At 46.3% G+C, this 22,382-nt stretch overlaps 1 protein-coding gene and 1 long non-coding RNA gene across 17 annotated transcripts in view, besides 2 other annotated features; one reads left to right on the top strand and one right to left on the bottom strand.

Annotated features, from left to right (window-relative positions):
- AKR1B15 (aldo-keto reductase family 1 member B15) overlaps nucleotides 1-19,775 on the bottom strand; it is a 30,760-nt gene extending 10,985 nt beyond the window's left edge. For 2 of the 6 annotated variants that reach the window (NR_160301.1, NM_001367821.1), the window contains exons 1-3: nucleotides 19,636-19,775; nucleotides 3,339-4,287; nucleotides 560-727 (exon numbers count right to left, since the gene is read on the bottom strand). Coding sequence is in view for 4 of the 6 variants with exons in the window: in NM_001367821.1 (NP_001354750.1) it covers nucleotides 560-727; nucleotides 3,339-3,404 (234 nt within the window). In the remaining 2 variants the exon portion in view is untranslated. Of the gene's footprint in view, nucleotides 1-559; nucleotides 728-3,338; nucleotides 4,288-12,025; nucleotides 12,150-19,635 lie in introns of all 6 variants that reach the window. The other 4 variants (NM_001367820.1, NM_001367822.1, NM_001080538.3 and 1 more) reach the window with 3 other exon arrangements.
- Nucleotides 5,247-6,446: an enhancer, noted in NCBI's record as "BRD4-independent group 4 enhancer chr7:134247191-134248390 (GRCh37/hg19 assembly coordinates)". NCBI's record gives its function as "activates an origin of replication core promoter dependent on BRD2, P300/CBP, MED14 and CDK7 cofactors, and independent of BRD4, by STARR-seq in HCT116 cells {active_cell/tissue: HCT116}" and the evidence as "EXISTENCE:reporter gene assay evidence [ECO:0000049][PMID:35650434]".
- Nucleotides 10,289-21,528, top strand: LOC105375520 (uncharacterized). 11 transcript variants are annotated; one of them, XR_001745374.2, is made up of 4 exons: nucleotides 10,289-14,792; nucleotides 15,806-16,346; nucleotides 17,372-17,431; nucleotides 18,053-21,528. It is a non-coding gene; the product is annotated as an uncharacterized LOC105375520 (long non-coding RNA). The 11 variants fall into 11 exon arrangements; XR_001745373.2 differs by having other exon boundaries at nucleotides 17,372-17,439; XR_001745372.2 differs by having other exon boundaries at nucleotides 15,806-16,647.
- Nucleotides 19,705-19,764: an enhancer, noted in NCBI's record as "active region_26690". NCBI's record gives its function as "activates an Ori minimal core promoter by ATAC-STARR-seq in GM12878 lymphoblastoid cells {active_cell/tissue: GM12878}" and the evidence as "EXISTENCE:reporter gene assay evidence [ECO:0000049][PMID:35858748]".
- Nucleotides 21,529-22,382: the final 854 nt, after the last annotated feature.

Raw genomic sequence — 22,382 nt, 5'->3', positions numbered from 1 at the left:
AGTGTTTTGTTTTTTTTTTCAGCAACTTGCATATAATATAGATCCAGTGATTCTCAACACCCTCACACCCAACATCCTTTTCTTTTTTTATAACATTGTATACCTCAACTTTTACTAGACTGAATAAAGAAAATCACATGTGATAATAGAAAAGTGCTCCTACTGTTTTCCAAAATACCCCCTGGCTGAGAACCTCAGGGGCACAGTCGCTGAGACCACAGTGCTGAGAGGGAGGCTTCATATCAAGCCCTGCCTGCACCCTTGGCCTGTGACTGCCTCTGGGCAGATGGTAGATCCCTCTGATGGGGAACAGGGAGGCCCAGAGGGAGCCAAGCCCACTATGGGAAATCCAACCCGCAGGCAGGTGGGGCAGCCACGACATGTTCAAATATCAATAACGGCTTGGAGTATGGATAGTATTGTATCCACGGATGTTATCAAGGCAGAGATGAAAACGGGTACACGTAGAAAAGGCCGACAGAGTTCTTGCTGCCCACCCGATCCAGATACTTCTGCCTGCCTTGAAGTGAAGGCCTCCCACCAAATGCGCCATGTGCACCTTGCTGACGATGAACAGGTCCTCCCGCATCACAGCCTTCTCTTGGATCTTCTCTTGGATGGCTTCTCCCACCTCATGTTGATTCTCATAGAAATAGGCACAGTCAATGTGGCGATATTCTGCATCAATGGCCACCTTCACCGCTTCTTTCACTTTGCCGAGAAGAGACTGAAAAGCAAAAGAAAAGCCCATCACACATGTATTTTTTTTTTAAGAGATGAGACCTTGCCATGTTGCCCAGGCTGGCCTCACACTCCCAGGTTCAAACAATCCTCCCAACTCCTGAGTAGCTGGAATTACACCACACTCAGCAACCACCATATTCTCTTATCCCCAGACCACCTTCACCTGCCCCACACGGTCCAGTTTCTCCAAACCAAGGCTTCGCTGGGGTCTTCTTTGCCAGGGAATATCTGGGAGGATACACAGTTTAGAAAAGTTTTCAAAAGAAAGGAAGGAAAGTGAATTAATTTTATGATTATGCCCTTTTGTCCTATCCTAGCTAAAAGTCAGTTCCCTTTTCATCCAGGTTAGTCCTGAAATGTCTTCAGGTGTGTGGTGGTGCAGATGGCTCCACTACAACTTTCTGAAGACCCAGATGAAAGCTTGACTCTAAATAACCCAGAGGGATTTTCAGACAATTTCCCCAAACGGTGATAAGGATCTGGATAATGGTCATTACAGCATCAATCCAGATTCCAACACTTACTGGGTGTGTGGGTCTAAGCAGGTGATTCAATCTCTCTAAACCTTGTCGGCAAAATGGAAAAAAAAATAGCACCAGCCACAAGAGGCCTTTGTGGTGATGACATGCTGTAATGAATGTTAAGTTAACCACATTACCTGACACACAGGCTCAGTACAGGCCGTCCATTATACAATGATCATTTTGGAAAAAAAGGAGAAATAGAGAAGCTTATAGGAATAGAGTTTGTTTTCCATTCCTATAAAAAGAAAGAGCGAGGTAGGGAGAACGAGAGAGAGGGAGAGAAAGAAGGGAAGGAAAGAAAAGAAAAAAAGGAAATACAATTATCACACTTTGTTCTAACCTAGCCAAGCCAATGATGGGGGCAAAAAGCACTTAAAACTTGATCTCTCACAAAATAGTCTTTTAAACCTCTTCTATTGTGAGGTAACAAACATTGAAAAGTACACAAAACAGAGATGCACAACTACCCTACCACCTGGGCAAGAAACGGGCTGCCACCTGGCATCTAGAAGCAGCCCTGTGACCCCAACCGCTATACTACACCCTTCTTCACCTCCACTGCTAAGTTCATAATCCTTTAATCTATCATCCCCACGTGTTGAAGGCAGCTCCCTTCATAATTCTTACATTCAATTCCAAAATTCTGAAACTGTCTAGTAAACTTATGAAGGGTGAGCAGATTCCCTGGAGATCTGGAAGTGATTATTTGTTCCATTTATATAGGATTAAAGCTCTGATTTGGGGCAAATCTTGCTATTCAAGCAAGAGTCAGTATGTATGAATCGAGCTGGAAGTGATCTGTTCGCCCAGATAGACCAAGACTTTATCCTGAGAATGACCCAGTGCTGCAGCAGAGGGTCCTACCCTCCAGCTCGGCACAGGAGAGGGAAAAAAGTCAGTGTGCACAGAAGGAAAGAGAGCCAGAGGCAGAAGTCTGAGCAGGGAAATTAGCCATGAGGGACAGGAGAGAAGAGGAACTCCAAAGACTGCTTCTCATCACTAGTTAGGGTAGTGCTATCATGGATGGAAATGGCAAAGAAGGCAGAGGGAGGCAGTGATGGAACAACTTCAAACTTAGCCTAACAGAGGCCCAGGAACCTGCCTCACTGAGTCCTCAATGTGCCTTAGCGTGTTTTGCCAGCTGTCATAAAAACAGCCGGGTGGAGCTCACGACTCCCAGCCCAGGCTCTCTGCAGTCCCAGCATGTTGCAGATTTCAATGTGTACAGGAACCACCTAGGGAACTTGTTAAAGTGCAGATGCCCGTTAGGTAGCCTGGGTGAAGCCTGAGACTCTGCATTTTTTCTCTTTCTTTCTTTCTCTTACACGGGATCTCACTCTGTTGCCCAGACTGGAGTGCAGTGGCACAATCACTGCTCACTGCAGCCTTGACCTCTCAGGCTCAACACTCAATCTCCACCTCAGCCTCCCAAGTGGCTGGGACTACAGCTGCATGCCACCATGCACAGCTAATTTATTGATTATTTGTAGAAATTGGGTCTTGCTATGTTGCCCAGTCTGGTCTCCAACTCCTGGGCTTAAGCAGTCCTCTCGTCTGGATCTCCCAAAGTGCTGGGATTACAGGCATGAGCCACCACACCCAGCCAGTTCTGCATGTCTAACAAGCTCCCAGGTCATAGGGATGCTGCTAGCCCAAGTCCCACATGGTGATCTGCAAAGTGGTGCCAGGGACTTCTGGCTCTGCATCCTCTCCACAACCACCCAGCCCACAACAAACCCACAGCCAAGACTCTGGGGAAACCTTGTGCCCAATTAAGTGTCCTAGAGCCAGAGAGAGAAACTGCCCTGGAAAACAATTTTAAGTCCAACTCTGCTTGAAATTTGATACTTGCTAGAGGAGTTCTCATCACTGCTGGGAAAGCCAGTCTTGCAGCATTGCAGCTTGAATCAGCTTTGAGAAAAGAAAGCAACCCGAGTCCCAGCTCCAGGACTGAAATTCACCTCTCCAAACCCCTACCCGACCTCCAGGCTTTTCTGGCTGAATGTAGAAAGAGAAAACACCCAAACAGCCCTCCAGAGAAGAAAGTTGTGCAAAGATTTGCATATTTACCCTCCAAGTGCCCAGGCCCACAATGGGCATCTTGGCTTTTGTACTGAGCTCCACAAACGTGGCCATGGTTGGTGCGGAAATGATTCTGAGTGAGCAGGTAGAAGTCTCACGTCCTGCTGTGTCCAGAGTTGGTTCCTTCCAGAGGGTTCGTGGTCTCGCTGGCTTCAAGAATGAAGCCGTGGACCTTCACAGTGTGTGTTACAGCTGTTAAAGATGTTGTGTCTGGAGTTTGTTCCTTCAGATGTGTCTGGAGTTTCTCCCTTCTGGTGGGTTTGTGGTGTCGCTGACTTCAAGAATGAAGCCGCAGACTGTCGTGGTGATCGTTGTAGCTCTTAAAGGTGGTGTGGACCCAAAGAGTGAGCAGCAGCAAGATTTTTCGTCAAGAGGGTAAGAACAAAGTTTCCACGGTGTGGAAGGGTATCTGAGCGGTTCCCTGCTGCTGCTGACTGGGGTGGCCAGCTTTTATTCCATTATTTGCCCACATCCTGCAGATTGTTCCATTTTACAGAGTGCTGATTGGTGCATTTACAACCCTTTAGCTAGTTACAGAGTGCTGATTGCTGCGTTTTTACAGAGTGCTGATTGGTGCATTTACAATCCTTTAGCTAGACACAGAGCACTGATTGGTGCATTTACAATCCTCTAGCTAGACAGAAAAGTTCTCCAAGTCCCCACTTGACCCAGGAAGTCCAGCTGGCTTCACCTCTCAATCCCCCATCTAAACAGGACACCACAACTGCTGTTGGGAATTGGGTGATGACCTCTCTAGCCACTTACTGCTGGATAGGGGCGAAGAAGGGGCCCTGCACTTGTAGTGTCCTTCAGAAGGGAACTCTTTAGGCCAGTCAAAGGGCCAACGGGTTGGTCCAGGGGTCCTTGGTGGAAGTTGTTAGTTGAGTTCACTTGGGGTTCCATTTGTAAGACCATCTGTAGCTTGATGGCCTCGATCCTAGAGGAAACAAATTTGACAAGGAGGTTAAAAATACAGGGCCCAAAGGTGAGTAATAGCAAGATGGCTTTCATGGGACCTAGAAAGGGGAGAAGCCATGTCGCCCAACTCCAGAGGTTGGTGTAAGAATTAGAAAGGCATTGCCTGATTTCAGAAGCCTTTTCCTGTAAACGCCGGGCAGCATCTCGTATTATCCCTGACTGGTTAGTGTAAAAACAATACTCTTCCCCTAAAAAGATGCAGAGCCCTCCTTTCTCAGCAGTGAGGAGGCCTAGGCCTCAGTGGTTTTGGAGAGTCACTGCTGTCAAAGAGTCTATTTAGAACTGTAGAGTAAGGATAGATTTTGTTATTTCTTGCAAACTGTCTGAGAAATCCTTTGAGAGTGTGTGATAGTAGGATAATGAAGTAGATAAACTGGCTATTCCGGTTCCCATAGCAGTAGCCATTCCTAACCCTATAAGCAGGGGTATTAGCTGTATGGCTCTGTGCTGACGGACTTGAGTTTTGAGGGGCACTGATAGGGTCTGATTTCCTGGGGCAATGTTAATGTTGGGACATAGGAAGACTAAGGTTGCAGGTGCCTGTCCAGTTGGTCGGGAGGCAGATATAGGTTGACATTCCACAGAAGAAGAATCTGCCTTGGCTAGGTAGTCAGAACTGGTTGTGTATGTTAAAAAGGTGTGTGAGTTTGTCGTTTTCATTTTCCCATACTCCTAGAGTACTTGCCAAGGTAGCTGTGGTAAGCGGCTAGAAACGGGTGTTGGGAGCAAACTGAGTGGCTGTTTTCTGTTTTCCCATTGGAGAAAAAACTGTTTTGTATCTACTAGGAACCATTTGTGAAGTGACTGAAAGATGGGATGAGATGGGATGAAAGATTGGTACATTTTTACAGAGTGCTGATTGGTGCATTAACAATCCTTTAGCCAGACACAGAGCACTGATTGGTGACTTTACAATCTGCTAGCTAAAGAGAAAAGTTCTCCAAGTCTCCACTCAACCCAGGAAGTCCAGGTGGCTTCACCTCTCACTGCTTTTTGTTTGTTTGTTTTTGAGACGGAGTCTTGCTCTGATGCCCAGGCTGGAGTGCAGTGGTGTGATCTTGGCTCACTGCAACCTCTGTCTCCCAGGTTCAAGCAATTCTCCTGCCTCAGCATCCTGAATAGCTGCGATTACAGGCACCCACCATCACTCCCATCTAACTTTTGTATTTTTAGTAGAGACAGACTGGTTTCAAACTCCTGACCTCAGGTGATCCACCCACCTCGGCCTGCCAAAGTGCTGGGATTACAGGCATGAGCTGTGCCTGGCCACATCCTGCTTTAGAAGGCTTGTGCTAGCTGCAGTGGGAAGAGCTGGAGCCTGGCCACAGTAGCTTCCCTGCCCTGTCCAAACAGAAAATCCATTCCAGGCTTTTGTGAGATTGAGGATTCTGTGAATGAATTATTAAACATGACAACCTTTTGCAAAGTTCTCTTGGGTAACAGTATCATTGGAGTTTCTGTTTGTTCACGATGAGTCAACAAATTCAACACAGCCCAAAGTTGGAAAGTAGGGAGGGAGAGAGAAAGGAAGGAAAGAAGAGTTGGGGGAGGGAGGGAAGGAATGAGGGAAGAGTAAGGAATAGAGAAAACAGACAGAAAAAGACAGAAAGAGAGTAAAGGAAGGAAGGGAGCAAGGAAGGAAGGAAAGAAGGAAGGAAGAAAGAAGGAAAGAAAGAAAGAAAGAAAGAAAGAAAGAAAGAAAGAAAGAAAGAAAGAAAGAAAGAGAAAGGAAGGAAGGAAGAAAGGAAGGAAGGAAAGAAAGAAAAGAAAAGATTAAGAAAGAAGCCTGGCCAACATGGTGATACTCCCTCTCTACTAAAAATACAGAAATTAGGTAGGTGTGGTGGTGAGAGGTGTAGCCAGCTGGACTTCTGGGTTGGGTGGGGACTCGGAGAAATTTTCTATCTTACAAGAGGATTGTAAGATGCACCAATCAGCACTCTGTAGCTAGGATTGTAAAATGCACCAATCAGTGCTCTGTGGCTAGCTAGAGGTTTGTAAAATGGACTAATCAGCACTCTGTAAAATGGACCAATCAGTGCTCCGTATAATGGACCAATCAGCGCTCTGTAAAATGGACCAATCAGCACTCTGTAAAATAGACCAATCAGCACTCTGTAAAATGGACCAATCAGCACTCTGTAAAATGGACCAATCAACAGGAAGTGGGTAGGGACAAATAAGGGAATTAAAGCTGGTCACCCCAGCCCCCAGCAGCAACGCTTAGGCAACCCGCTTAGGTACCCTTACAGGATGTGGAAGCATTGTTCTTCCGCTGTTCAAAATAAATCTTCCTGCTGCTCACTCTTTGGGTCTGTGCCATCTTTAAGAACTGTAACACTCACTGTGAAGGTCCGCTGCTCCAGTCTTGAAGTCAGCCAGACCACAAAACCACTGGAAGGAATCAACTCCAGACACAGTGGCACATGTCTGTAATCCCAGCTACTTGGGAGGCTGAGACAGGAGAATTGCTTGAACCTAGGAGGTGGAAGTTGCAGTGAGCCGAGATTGTGCCACTGCACTCCAGCCTGGGCGACACAGTGAGACCCTGTGTAAAAGAAAGAGAGAAAGCAAAGCAAAGAAGGAAGAAAAAACAAAGGCTTTCTTTCCCTGTGATGGTTTCCCTGTGAAATGGAGTCTAGGGAGGAGAGGTGAGAAGCAGCGTTTCAATTTTAAAAGTTACAATTGCAGGTTCAGTGCAGAGATGGTCAAATCCCGACCTGATTGGAGTCAGCTGTAACTAGTTGGTAGTCAGCAGTCTAGGGAACATGATATAGGCCTGTGCCATGCTGTGACATGCCATGACAGGCCAGGGCCACGTCACAGCATCTGTTTCAGCCTGCCGGTAGTGGGTTTTTCTGTCTTTTACATGTTCTTGTTGATGAGTTGGCTTTGGTTGAATCTTGAAATGGAATTGAATCTCTAGGCTGTGGCTTACGACAGCTCATAGAAGGCAATTGGCATGATATTTTGCACCTATGAGTGAAAAATGTTAACACTTCATTGATGTTTGTTAAATTATCTACTTCAACATTAATAATACATGCATGGTCCGGGCATGGTGTCTCACACCTGTAATCCCAGCATTTTGGGAGGCCAAGGCAGGTGGATCACTTGAGCTCAAGTGTTTGAAACTAGCCTGGCCAACATGGTGAAACCCTGTGTCTGCTAAAAATCCTAAAATTAGCCACATAGGTGGCTCGTATCTGTAGTCCCAGCTGCTTGGGAGGCCTGAGAATCACTTGAACCTAGGAGGTGGAGATTGCAGTGAGCCAAGATTATGCCACTGGAATCCAGCCTGGGTGACAGATAGAGACTCCATCTCAAAAATAAATAAATAAATACATGCATGCCTCATAATCTGGTGGTCACAAAGTCTCCTGGATCTGCACATGGGGCACCTTATTTTCCCAGTGTATACTGGATGATATGCAGTGCTAGTATTGTTGAAATAGTAAATCCTTTGTGACTATAAACCTAAATAACAGAGAGAGGTCCCTAAAAGAAAAATATTTCTCTGGGAATAGACCACTGCAATGGGAGTATGCATGCCACAGTAAACTATGTGTATATTTGGGAAAATAAAGGAAAACAAAAATTTTTTAAGGAAAAAATGAGGATTATCTAATTTCTTTGAATTAATTAGCCTTGGCTCCAAAGATCAATCACGAAAGTGGTGTTAGTCTGAGGTTGGACAGGCAGTTGTTCAGAGGTCCTTGCAGAGTATGTTTTCTGTTCAGTTGGAATGGCCTTTGCTCAAGGTTGTGGTGTTCGCCGTCTTTCGTGGTACTTTTGGTTTTCAGGTGTACAACCATTAGAACCCTCTTTTCATGGTCTTCCCAGCTGTATTTGTCAGAGTCTTTTGTTTGTTTTTTAACATTAGTGACTCCATTTTGATTCTGACCATTTTCATGTGATGCACAGAATAAAGAAATGTGTATTATTCATAAAAATATTCCTTCTAGAACCACTTAGCTATGAATCAGTGAGGAGGGATATCTTTTTTAGATAATTGAGATTAAGAAGGTATATCTATTAGCTGTTTTCGTGTAACAACCCAACTGGTTATTACAGCAACCATTTATTTGCTCGTGATTTTGTGGGTTGGCAATTTGGGCAGGAATCAGCTGATAAGCCGATCTCAGAACCACGTGGTATCAGCTGGGTTTCCTCACCTCTGTGGGCCTCACTGGGTGGACTGGGTTGTCAGGGAAGACAGGGACCCTCTTTATGTGTTTTCCGTTTTCCATGAGGCTAACTTGGGCTTGTTCATAGGTAGCAGCATTGTAGGAGGCCTACCCTTGGAATGTGTGCAGTGTCACTTCTGTCACCTTCTATTGATCAAAGCAAGTCTCAAGGCCAGGACGGGGCCAAGGAGTAGGGAAATAGATTTCACCTCTTGAGGGGATTTGTTACAAGGAATTTTCGCTAATAGTTTTTTTTTTTTCTTAGGTGGAGTCTCGCTCTGTCACCCAGGCTGGAGTGCAGTTGCCCAATCTCAGCTCACTACAACCTCTGCCTCCCGGGTTCAAGCAATTCTCCTGCCTCAGCCTCCCAAGTAGCTAGGACTACAGGTGCACACCACCACACCCAGCTAATTATTGTGTTTTTGTTAGAGACGAGGTTACACCATGGTGGCCAGGATGGTCTCAATCTCCTGACCTTGGGATCTGCCTGCCTTGGCCTCCCAAAGTGCTGGGATTACAGGCGTGAGCCACTGCACCTGGCATAATTTTGGCTACTCTTAATCAACCCCAGAAGGTTTAATAAGAACTTTGATTAGCTACTTTCTAGCTTCATGAATTTACCAAGCTATTCCTGGTTTTGCACCTTTAAGAAACTCATTTTTTAAATCTGATGAATATATGTCCATAAGAAGCTTTACTTGGTTAAAATTAAATACATACAAAATTGACAGAAAAATTATTTTGTCAAAGAAAAATGAACGAAGAGTAGTGTCATTTTTCATTGTCACATTCATTTCTCTAAGAAATGGATCTGTCCTTCAACATCTCCTCCTAGCCCATACTGTTTGAATATAGAGGGCTCTTGGGCCATGGTCCGGGGATTATTTATAATCAGCAACAAGGGGTTACAGTGTCATGGCTTACAATTTGGTGGGGTGGGACCAGGGACTAGTTGGAGTTTTTTGTTTTGGTCGTCATAATTTATTTGAAGCAGGGAGCTTGGCTCTCCACCCTTTGTACTTATTAGTCCACCAAACATCTGCCCAGTCACCACTGGGACTTTTAACACTCCATACTTATACATGCTTGATTTTTTGTGGTATAGACATAGACACTTATCAACATGGGCTAGCTTCTTTTGACCTTGCTCATCTCCATACGGGATGACTGAACAGGCATCAAACTGAAGGGTTAAAAAATGACTAGCCTGAGTTACACTGATGACAAGATGACCTTCTGTTGAAAAGAAAAAAGAGAATAAATAAGTGATTATTAAGCTCTTTTTAGAGTTAATTTGGTGGGGGTGGGCTGTGGAGTGACAGTTCATGATTCTGGAGGTGGCGGCACCTTCTTGACTCGGGTGTGATGAGTCCATCCTCTTTCTGTTGTCCAGACTGCAGTCTCAGTACATAGGAGCACTAGGTAGGGTCCTTCCCAGGCTGGTTCGAGCTTCCTTTTCTTCTACCCTTGGATGAGAACATGGTCTCAAGGCCAATGCTGATGTTCTGGAAACTCCAGGGGTGATGCCTGTGCTAGGAGACCTTTAGTCCCAAGGGAAAAGAAGGTAGAGCCTAGACCAAGTATATAATTTTTGAGGAAATGATCCTTTGTTTCAAACATAGGGATGTCAGCAATGGAGTGTAAGTAGGGCATTCCATAGAGCGTTTCCTCAGGTGACAGGCCAATATCTTTCCAAGGGGCAGTCCGGATTCTTAACCAAGCAATAGGAGTATATTTAGTCCATGGCAATCGAGTTTCTAAAACTAAGTTAAGTGGTTTATTAGAGTCTGATTCATCCACTCTACTCTTCCTGTGGAGGATGGATGCCAAGGAGTATGGTATTCCCAATGTATATCTAGTACCTGTGCTAACTTCTTAATGACATGCACAGTGAAATGGGTTGCAGTATCTGAATCAGTATTTTCTATTAGTTCAAATCTGGGTATGATGTTTTCAATTAGCGCTTTAACTACATTACTGGAGGTTGCACGTGAGAATGGGATTGCCTCTACCCAGTGGGTAAAATGGTCTATTATTACTAATAAGTATAACTACCAATTGGAGGCATTTCAGTGTAATTGATCTGAACACTTTGAAATGGTCTCAGTGCTGGATTTCTTCCACCAAGGCGCAATTTCCTTAGATCCTGCTTATTAGCTTTTTTTACATGTTAAGCAACTATCTATAACTTGTTTGGCCAGGGTGTAAATTCTTATACACCCATAAACCCGGAGAACTGCATTGCACATTGCTTGGGGTCCCCAATGGGTCCCTTGATGTAATTGAGACAAGACTTCCCTCATGAGAGGTTTTGACAACATTTCCCTTTGATCTGATAATATCCATTTCCTATCCGCATTTTCTTTAGCTCCTATTTTTATCAACGTCTTTTGTTCAATGGAAGAGAAAACGGGTTACAGTAGGAGGAGGGCATGGAGTTAAATGGAAGAAATGGCAACTTGTTTTGCTATTTTATTGTAACCGACTGAGTTATAGAGAGAATGCCACAGTCTGAGACTAATTCAGTGATCCTTTATTGCCAGCAACCGAGAGACGGCTAGAGCTCAAAATTCTCTCAGCCCCGAAGAAGGGGCTACACATCTTTTTACACCTTGGTCTAAAGAGGGGAGGAGGAGTGTAGCTGAAGCAATTTTTTACAGAAGCAGAACAGGCAAAAAAGTTGAAAGATAAATGGTTACAGAAACAGTAATAAGAAAATAAACAGTTCCAGGTGCAGGGGCTTAAATTATCACAAAGTGATAAACGCAAAGGCTTTGGGCACCGTCAACCGAGTGCGTTCCCAGGAGCTGCTGGTACAGCTTGCCTCAGTATCTTATCAGTAAGCGCATTCTTGGATGTGCTTGGAGTCAGCTTGCACCAGTTATGTCCTTAAGGGAGGGGGACAAGGGGCTGCAAGTGAAGAAACCAAAATGGAGTCTGTCCAGCTCTCTCAGCTAAGAGAGAGTCAATCAGGTTAAAAGAAGTTAGGGTATCACATTTCCCACTCGTGTTTGGGGGAATCAGATCATTGATTCCTCGGTTATAACAAGGGTGTTATATTGGGTTCTAAGATACATAAGATTGACAGAAGCTATGCGTTGCTTTACAAAATTAAGAAACCAATTTAATATACAAGGCCTGAAGACTAACCCTAACAAGAGGAGGAGAAGGGGGTCCCGCCAACCCAGTAATTAGAGTAGTTAGCCAGGGATTCCAGTTAAACATGCTTTGGTACTTTGGTACTCCAGGAATGAGAAAGGTGGTGTTACTTTCTTGTTCCTTCTGGCATCTATCTAGATTTTCTCGAACTCTTTGAAGAGTATTTTTTATGACTCCAGACTGATTGGCATAGAAACAACAACTTTCTTCTAGAGCTGTGCATAAACCTCCTTGGGAGATAAATAGCAGATCTAAGCCTCGGCGGTTTTGAAGAACTACTTCAGCTAGAGACTCTACCTGGGCATGTAGTATATTTATGGCTGATTGGAGATTGCTTAAATCAGCATCTACCTGTTGAGATAGTGATATTAGTCCAGTTTCTCCTTGAATCAGGGCAGTCGTGCCAATAGCTGCTGACGTAGCTATGCTAAGGCCAGCTAGAAGGGGTACAAGGAGTAGGGCAGCTCGGTGAAACCTGAAATGCAATTCAGGGGGAGCAATGAGAAGTTGTCCTTCTGGCCCACTGTACATGTAGATCTGGGGGAGTACATGAATCAACATGCATAGGAGAGGTCCAGGTTCAGTCCCATTGATGCAGCGAGTGAGGCCTGAAATGCAGGCCAACCAGGTATTTTTGGGTGCCTGGTAGGAGACTGAGGGGTTTAAGGAAGTAAGGAGAGACTCACTACAAGTAGCCTGAAAGGGAGAAGCAGGTAAGTTATACCTTGCGCTAATTAGACAGAAGGCATTCCCTGACACATCTCCTAGTGTAAGGGCATGGGGGCACGTATGACAAGAAAGAGAGTCCATTTTGAGCATGGCTTCTACTCCTAATCCAACATAATATGGGGGTTTGGCCTTTCGGCACAACCAGCAATCTCAGGCTAGTTTAGGCTTGGTGAGATTAAGGAGGTGATGTATCCCGTCCAAAATGGACATCGGGCTGGGTTGGAGGTATTGTCATTGCAGCTGGGGTCTCAGAACCAGGAATGGCAGTGGGACAGTTAAATCGACTCTCTCTGGGTGTTTTTGGAACATAGGGTCACCTAAATCAGTTAAAGTTCTGATTGGCTTCATGGGACCAGGAATTTTTTCTGGATGGTGAACATAGTTCCAACATCAAATCCTGAAATATAAAGCCTTAATCCCTATGACATGCTGTAATACCATTGAGTTAAACTAGGGTTACGGAGAGTTATAGTAAGAGGATTACAATTTCCTATAGTACACGGCTTAGGATGGGAAGCACAAGCTATGGAAAGGGTTGAGGATCAGGTTCATCCTCCAGAGTAAGTGGCCAAGGTTACACACATGCAGTAAGGGCAGAAAAACTGGTAAGAATCTCGACAACTAGAGTCAGGGCGATTTCCAGGACAAAGGTAAAAGTCAACGCTCTGGAGCCTTTTTTCTGCACCCTTAGAACTTCCACATCCAGTTTGGCTTCTGGTGTGTCCGAACCCTGCAGCAAGGTCAGCGTTCCCTGCTCTCATGATCGGCAGATTGCATTGCTCTTCAAGGGTATGGGCAGGGTCGGGGAACAAAGCACATAAACCGACTACAAAAGAGACTTCCTTGGAGGGTCCCACCTTCCAAGTGGTGTTTGCAAACACACATCCTGTCATGAAGGAAGTGAGGAGAAAAGAGTAGGAAGGGGCAGAGGACATAACAGGTGGAAACAGACAGAAGAGGTAAATAAAAAGAATTAATTCGATAGCTTTACTCAACTTAGGCGCAGTTTTAAGGGGCCTGGCCTAGGCTTGGGGACCCATTTTTTTTGCTGGGCTTTGTTGGCCTTTTTGATGCGAGAATGATGAATCCAAGCAGGAGTGCCGTCCACCTTCAGAGCTGTTGGTGTGGTGAGGATGACAGTATGAGGTCCTTTCCAGGCAGGAGTCAGTCCTTTTTTCTGGAACTTTTTAACATACACTAGGTCACCCAGCTGGAAAGAGTGGCAGGGCCCAGTCTGGTCAGGAACTGGGCTGGGGTGTGCTCCCCTGACAAGCAGCTGGATGATGTCTTGTACCCGTTGGAGAGACTGCAGGTACTGTAACAAGTTAGCTTGTGAGATTTCTGCTAAATGGGTATCCTTTAGCTTAGGCAAGATAGGCGGAGCCCTTCCATACATGATTTCAAAAGGTGAAAACCCAGCCTGGTAAGGGGTGCATCTTACTCTAAGAAGGGCTAAAGGAAGGAGCTTTACCTAGTTTTCACTGGTTTCTAGGATTAATTTTGCAAGAGTACTTTTTAGGATGGGGTTCATGCATTCTACTTGTCCAGAGCTCTGGGGTCGATAGGCACAATGGAGTTTCCATTGAATGTTTAATGCCTTGCTGACCGACTGAGCTATGGACGAGGTGAAGGCTGGTCCATTATCAGACCTTATTACAACAGGCAGTCCATGTTGAGGGATGATTTCATTGAGTAAAAGCTTAACTACCGTGGTAGCAGTTTCGTTTTTGGTGGCAAATGCCTCAGTCCATCCAGAAAAGGTGTCTACTAGCACCAGGAGGTATTTATACCCTGCCAAGTGTGGTTTTACCTCTGTAAAGTCAATTTCCCACCTTCCTCCTGGCAAGCCTCCCTGGAGGCGGTGGCCTGGGCTGGGCTTAGGACCTTGCTTGGTGTTTACTTGGGCACAAGCCGTTTACTGGAGAGCTGCTTGGTTAGTTAAGTCCTGAAGGTGGGGGATCTTGAAATGGCTCCTTAGAAGCTGGGCCAGTTTTACTCCTCCTAAATGGGTGGTAGAATGTAGATGATTGATAAAAGTTTCCCCAAGGGCTTGGGGCATGAAGATTCTGGAATCAGGAAGAATTCACCAACCTTCCTGATTTTTACTGGCTTGAAGATCCGAAGCTTGTTTTTCTTCCTCTGGGGAGTATTCTGGGTAGTCTGCCCAGTCAGTTGTGGAAAGGACACAGAGGGCAGCAGGGTTAAAGGCACGACCAGGAGCTGAGCTGCCTCTCAAGCTGCAGAGTCTGCTCTTTGGTTACCACGAGCAATGGCCATGTCTTCTCTTTGATGTCCTTTGCAGTGAATTGCAGCCACCTGTTGAGGGAGCCAAACAGCTTCAAGCAGGGCTAAAATTTCTTCTTTGTTGTTGACACTCTTTCCTGCTGAGGTGAGTAGCCCTCGCTCTTGATAGATGGCTCTGTGTACATGTACAGTAGCAAAAGCATACCTGCTGTCAGTGTAGATGTTAATACATTTGTCTTTACCCTATTGGAGGGCCTGAGTCAGGGTTACCAACTCAGTCCTCTGTGCCAAGGTACCTGCCGGCAGTGCCTGGGCCTACAGTACATCTGTCTCCATAGTAATGGCCACACCAGCCTTCTGTACTCCCTGTTCAAGGAAGCTGCTACCATCTGTAAACACGGTGGCATCCACCTCCTTTAGAGGCACATCTTGGAGATGAGGTCAGCCAGTTTCCATAGTTTCTAACAGTTCTTGGCAGTCATGGACAGGTGTGGTAAGGTCTGGATCAGGGAACAAGGTAGCTGGATTTAAACACCTTGTGGGAGAGAAAGTTAAACGCGGCTGATCTAACAGTAAACTCTGATACCGCAAGATGCGAGCATTCGACATCCATTTGCCAGAAGCACTTTGTAGCAAGGTCTCTACAGCATGAGGAGCCGTAAGGGTTAAATTCTGGCCCAGAGTCAGTTTATCAGCCTCCTGGACCTGGCTTGCTGTTGCCACTATGGCTCACAGACAACTTGGCCACCCAGAGGCCACAGGGTCCAGTCTCTTAGACAAATAGGCCACTGGGTGTTGCCATGGCCCTAAAGTCTGAGTAAGTACCCCTTTAGCGACTCCTTGGTTTTCATGAACAAAAAGGTGAAATGGTTTTGAGATATTTGGGAGGGCAAGAGCAGGGGCCTCAGTTAGTGCCTTCTTCAGATTTTGAAAAGCCTGTTCTTCTTTGTCAGTCCAAACCAGCGGGGTATTCCCTCCAGTAGTGGTGTACAGGGGTTTGGCAATTTCCATGAACCCCAATATCTATAGGCGACCATATCCCACGGTGCCCAGGAATTCATGTACCTGTCTCTTAGTGGTGGGAGTGGGGATTTGAAGGATGGCTGCCTTTCGAGCACTGGTGAGTGCCCTTTTTCCTTCATTTGTCTCATACCCTAGGTAGGAAATGCTGGGAAGAAAAAGCTGGGCCTTCTTGGCTGGGACCTGATACCCGAATTCCTGAAGGAGGTAAAGTAGGTCCGTAGTATGTTGCAGGCAGCTGTCAGTAGTTTCAGTAGCCAATAACAGGTCGTCTACATACTGGAGAAGAGTGCAGTTAGGGTGACTGGCTCAGAATGGTAAAAGATCCTGTTGGAGGGCTTCCCTAAAAAGGGTGGGGGAATTTTTAAAACTTCGGGGTAACCAAGTCCAGGTTAATTGGGTGGTGTCTACCGAGCCAGGATATGTCTGTTCAAAAGCAAAGATAGGTTGACTTTTGGGGCCAGAGGAATAGCAAAAAAAAGCATCCTTGAAGTCAAGGACAGTGTACACCATATGTTCTGGTGGGAGCAGGCTGAGTAAAGTATAAGGGTTAGAGACAGTTGGATGGACAGTGACTGTCTGCTTGTTACCTTCCTGCAAGTCCTGTACAGGCTGGTAATCATTTGTTCCGGGTTTCTGGACCGGCAAAAATGGAATATTCCAGGCGATCTCACATGGTGTGAGTATACCAGCTTGTAATAGTTGCTGAATATGAGGATTAATTCCCTCTATAGCCCACAGAATCATAGGATATTGTTTGACCTGGACCGGCAGGGTGGTGGCCAGGAGTTCTACAACAGCTGGCAGATGGTGGTTTGCCAGTCCTGGGAGGTATGAGGAAACAGAGTCTGTAAAGCCAGTAGGAGAGGATTACTTTTATTCTCCGGCAGTTGTGAGGGTGAAACTAAGAGATATTCCTCTGACCGAAGGGTGGTTAGCAGGAGCTGAGCAGTAGGGGGCATTGTGTCCCCTAACATGAGGTGAGTTTGTTGGGCCGAGAAGGAGATGGACGCCTGTAGCTTATGAAGCAGGTCTCATCCGAGGAGGGAGAAGGGGCACTCTGGGACCACGAGGAACAAGTGGGTTACTCTTTTCTGTCCTAAACTCACCTCTCGTGAGTGGGTGACAGGATATTCCTGAATAGCTCCAGTAGCCCTTTACTCAGCAACCTTTTTATTAGACACTGCCTAAGGGTGTCTGGAGTACTGAGTGTTCCACCCCGGTGTCAATTAGGAAGCGTACAGGCTGGCCCCCCACTGTGGTGGTCACCATGGGTTCCCGGGGCCAAGTGACAAAGAGCCCTGGCCCCGTCAATCATCAGATTCCTCTGCTGCGGGGCAGGGTGAGGACCTTTTTCTTTTCTGGTTTCTCCTCTGGCTTTAATGGGCATTCCTTTCTCCAGTGTCCAATCTGCTTGCAAGAAGCACATTGGTTTCTTTATAGGGGAGTCCTCTCACGTTTCTGGCCTTCCTGGTGGGGACTCGGGGTCCCCTGGTCAGTGCTCTGTGATGGGGGCCCTTCCTTTTTGGCTTCTTGGATGGCAGCCACTAAGCTTTTTGCCTGTCTTTTTGATGCTTTGTCTGCAGCCCTTTCAGCTGCCTGAGCTACCTGTTTTTGCTTTTCAAATTCTCGATTGTCGAAAACTCTCTGGGCTATCTCTAAAAGCTGGCTGATGTAAGGAAATACTTTCTGGCTTCTCTTCAGATATGGTCCCTCTCTTCAGAGGTGAAAAGGGATGAAAGGAGTTGCTGACACTCATCCCAGGTGGGCCGGTGAGTCTGGAGCACAGACTCCATCAGTGAGGTTAAGACCTGGGGCTTTTCAGAAAAGGGGGGATTATGAGCCTTCCAGTTGTACAGGTCAGAAGTAGAGAAGGGGACATAAACTAAAAATGGAGCACAACGCCCACTGCCCAAAGGGATTTGGGCCTCTGTCAGTGGGAGGAGCGGGGCCACCTCCTCCGGCTGAGGCCATAATTGGGAGGATATAGGCAGAGAGGCCACAGAGGATGTAGTTGAGGAGACAAGGGAAGATTCTGGGGGAGGAGGAGGGTTATAGGGTGGTGGAAATGGGTGAAGAAAACTTTCCTCTTCTTCAGAAGGAGGCAGTACAGGAGGAATCGAGGGAGCTGAGGGTGGAGGCAAAAGTGAGGTCTGGCTAAAAAGGACCTTGGAGGTAGGATCACGAATGGCTACAGAGTTTTATCACGAGTGGAGCCATGAAGGAGAGCTCTGGACTAAATCTAGCCATTGATCAATGTAGGGAAACTGATCGGGGTGACCGGGAGTTCCAACAACGACCCACCACACAGCCTGAACAGCTGTGAAGTGTAGTGACCCGTCTGGGGGCCACCCAGTTCCAAACTTTGGCCATTCTACTTCGCAGAGTGTCCAGAGTTTGCCTTTTTTAAGGCGGACCCCGTAATCATCTGAGAAGCCTAGAGAGAAATTCTGCAACATACACTGGAGAGGACTCCAATCTTTATGGGGCCGGGAAGAAGAGTTTACTATTCTGGAGGCAATTAACAAGGTTTGAACAAAAATATTAAACCCAGCATGGACAAAGATATTCACGGCCTGGGAGGCTATGGTATCAGAAGAACAGAAGTATTATAGCTAGAAGAAGTAGGAAAACAACTATAGCCAATATTTCTTGCCACATAAGGTCTGTCTCCTCAAGCTTCGAGATCTATGGAGAGGATAAGAGGTGGGTCCAAGGGATCCTCAGCCAGTGGGACTTAGGTGACCCCCCCTTCTTGACTTATATCCCAAATAACTTTGGTGTCTCCACGACTCGAAAGCAAAATGTTCAAACTCGGTCCTTTCCTTCACGGGTTTAAGGAGGGAGAACACAGCCAAGTCTTAGAGACGCTGGACTTGCTGCAACACAGGAAAATGAGATGTGCAGGGTAAGGGATGGGGATGAGGAGGAAAGGGGCCACTTGGATTTCCCTAAAGGTTGGAGAGTAGCCAAAAGAGGTAAAATAAGAGTCCAGACAGAGTAGAGCAGTATGGGTGTAGGTTTCTCTGCACAGTGCCTTATTTAAGGGCATGGGAAAAGTTATGGGATGACAGAAAAGGTGAGTAAGGAGGTCAGCAGGGTGGCTATTTTGGATCCACCACTGGTCTAAGGAGAAGGTGGACCAGTCGTTGGGGCGTGGGGTATGGCAATCCAAACGCCAGCAATCTTTATGGTGCCAGAAATCCTAAACGGGTGAATGTCTTCCACACCCTTCCCCATAACAACACCTAATTTGTTTCTGACAGGAAAGGCAGGACTGGGATGGCCAGCCCAACCGACTAATGAGGAATTTGACCTCCTGGGATAGAAAATCTGTACTAAGGACCTTGAAGAAGTCCTTGCCCAGTCATTTTGGGCAGTATCGACGATCCGACATATGAAATTTAGACAGACACTAAACAGGACAATAGGCACTGGGGTATATAAACAAGCATGGCAATTTTTATAGACAGACAAGGGGAGGGGGTCCCGTGATGGGATCAGTCAGATGCCCTCCTGGCTGCTCCCCTTTCGGGGACTTAGGCTCCTCTTGGCATTGGCAGGCTGGTATAAACCCCTGGCTTGGATCGAGCTATGCCTGATGCCGCCCTAAGCCTTATGAGGTCACCACGGAACCACAGGTGAGGGCCTTCTCGAATTCCCTAGCTTTCACCCTGGAGCTACAAACTGGAAATTCAAGCGCAAGCCCTTGAACTCCACATTCACTCACTCACTCACTCACTCAGAGTTTATTACAATTTTTATACCCATTCTAAAACAGAGATCTCCCGGAGACCTGAATGAGAGAGGGAGAAGAGATAGAGAGAGAGAGAGACTAGACTTAACAGAGAATCCTGACAGAAACCAGGACTCTGTCCTCCAGTGTCCTGGAGCATGGACAGAGTCTGAGGGAGGACCTTCGTCAGGGCCGTTTCCCTCCCAGAGAGACAGAGTCAGATCTGACTTACCTTCCCGGGACTAGAGACTGAGGACTCAGGAGTTGAATTTGGCTGGGCGCACCGGCAGTCGATCCGTTCCCCTCCAGAAGACAGTGGCCTGTGGAGCCCTGGAACGTCTTCAGGTGGCCCTGTAAGCCAGCTGTCTGTCTGGGGAAGCCCGGAATGAGTCAGGTCTTCACCCGGTGGCGAATCTCTCTGGGGCTTCCAAATGTCGTAACCGAGCAAGTCATAGAGAGAATGCCACACTCTGAGACTAATTCAGGAGTCCTTTATTGCTGGCGACTGAGAAAGAGCTAGAGCTTGAAATTCTCTCGGTCCGGAAGAAGAGGCTAGAGTTCTTTTTATACCTTGGCCTAAAGAGGGGAGGGGGAGTCTAGCTGAAGCAATTTTTTACAGAAGCAGAACAGGAAAAAATTAAAAGATAAATGGTTACAGAAACAGTTACAGGAAAATAAACAGTTCCAGGTGCAGGGGCTTAAAGTATCCCAAAGTGATAAAAGCAGGGGCTTTGGATACCACCAACCAAGTGTGCTCCCAGGAGCTGCTGGTACAGCTTGCCTCAGTATCTTATCAATAAGCGCATTCTTGGATGTGCTTGGAGTCAGCTTGCACCAGTTATGTCCTTAAGGAGGGGGACAAGGGGCTGCAAGCGAAGAAACCAAGCTAAGACTCTCTCAGCTATTGACTCTCTCGATATTGACTCTCAATTGAGTCTCCCAAGCTATTGACTCTCTCAGCTAAGAAAGAGTCAATCAGGATAAAACAAGATAGGGTATCACAATTTGATCTGCAAGATTATTTCCTGGACTTGTGAAAGGCGAGTCGTTTTGGTGCCCTGGGACATGTACAATAGCTATCTCTTCTGGCAATTGGAGATTGTTGAGGACACGAGCATCAGTTCTCTATGAACTAAATCTTGGCCTCTACTATTGATAAGAGCCCTCTCCATCCAAATTTTCCCAAATGTGTGTGCCTCCCCAGAGGGATACTTAGAGTCAGTATAGATAGATTTTCTTGGTTTTGTAAATGTCCTAAAGCTTGGCTGAGTGCAAACAGTTCACACCCTTGGACAGACCAATTATTAGACCCCCTTCCTGATTTTACTTTTTTAACAGTCTTTCCATTAATCACTGAATACCTATTATGTCTCTTTCTTTTAATCACCTGGGAGGTTCCATCTATGAATAAGTGCCACCCTGTCTTGAAGGGAGTTTTTCCTAAGTCTGGTTGAACTTTCGTATGGTAATTAATTCGATTTAAACACGCGTGCTCTCTCGTTTTACGTTTGGATCCCCCGTTAAAGAGCCTGCTGAATAAAGTGAATTATTAGTACTTAATATTAAATCACCTTTTTCCCAGAAAGATAGCCTCATATTTTAAAATTTTTGAGTTGGTAATCTCCCTCCTTGCGTTTTGATTTAATATAGTTTTAACTTGGTGGGTTGTGGCCTGAAGCGGCTGGGGAGTAACTTGAAACCTCAGCTGAAGGGACAGCACAGGCTGGGGCGTGGCCTGAAACAGCTGGGGAGTAACCTGAAACCACAGCCGGAGGGACCTGAGAGGGGAACCAAAGGGGCAGGATTGGGGGCGCTGAAGGAAGGAAGGTGATTTAGAGGATCCCATGTCTTGGTAGGTATGGGTTGTCTAGGCATGGGAACTCTTTCCTTTTTAGAAAGGTTGGTTTCTGATTTTCTCCCTCCAGAGTCTAAAGGGTAAAGGAGAACTGGTCCCTGCCGCCAGCAGAGGGCGTAATCGATTTTTCCTGGGACACAGGGCTCTTACTGTTAACATATTTGATTAACAGCTGACAAATTCGCTCTTCATTAGACTTAAATTTTGGCCAGAAAAGTGAGGGCTTAAGGATGGGTTCTCGAACTTAAATAAAACAACAATATTCTATCATCTGCTGTTTTTGTTTATACTTGGTTCTCTTATTATTTTTTCAATACTTTAGCATAAGCCCCAAGGGGCTATCAGAAGGAAATTCATCACTCTCTAGACTCTTTAGTTTTCCTGTCTTACTTGAAACGTTCCCCATCTTAGGGATTATGGGGAGGAGGCCCAACCCCTCCTGTGAGATTTCTACCCTCCCCCTTCCTGGAGGCTTACTGAGGCTTTGGGGAAAGGCTCCAACCCAACCTGTTTGGATTTCTACCCTCCCCCTTCCTCTTTGTCTACTCTGTCTGTTCCTGACTCTAGTTGACAGATGGCAGCATGAGGCCATAGAGAAGACTCACTCACTCCACATAACCACCATACTAAGTCCCATTCATACACTGTCAGCCTCCAGCTTATCCCAACCACCTGGGAAATACTTTGTCACCTTCGCCAAGTCTCCTACCTTATTCCATGCACAAGAATTTCCTGGTCCTCTTATTGTTGCGGTCTTGCAAGCTTCTCCTCCCCGCTTTGCTGAGATCCAGACTTATTTGTCACAAAGCGGGGGGGGGGCCCTGATCTCCCTCAACCTAGGGGCACGGTAACTAGACAGTAGGATGCGTCCCCTCCGGGTGGGGTGACCGAAGGCCCCCTTCCCAAAGGAGAAGATTCGAGCCCCAAAGTTGGGCTCCAGAACTGTTAGGAATAACGCTCAAAATCTTAAGGAAATTGAACACTTGAACAAAGGATTCTTAGCAAAGCAATTTTACTTCTGCGCAGAGAGGTGCCTCCTTGTCCAGTCGCCATGAGAGCACACCTGAAAAAGGGGCACGAGAGCCTTTACTCCTGACACAAGTACTGCCCCTGTACCCTTTCTC

This window comes from Homo sapiens, chromosome 7 (genome assembly GCF_000001405.40).
Source record: "Homo sapiens chromosome 7, GRCh38.p14 Primary Assembly".
In the NCBI taxonomy this organism is placed as follows: Eukaryota; Metazoa; Chordata; class Mammalia; order Primates; family Hominidae; genus Homo; species Homo sapiens.
The sequence above is the reverse complement of the archived record's forward strand: the minus strand, read 5'-3'. Positions and strand labels throughout refer to the sequence as shown.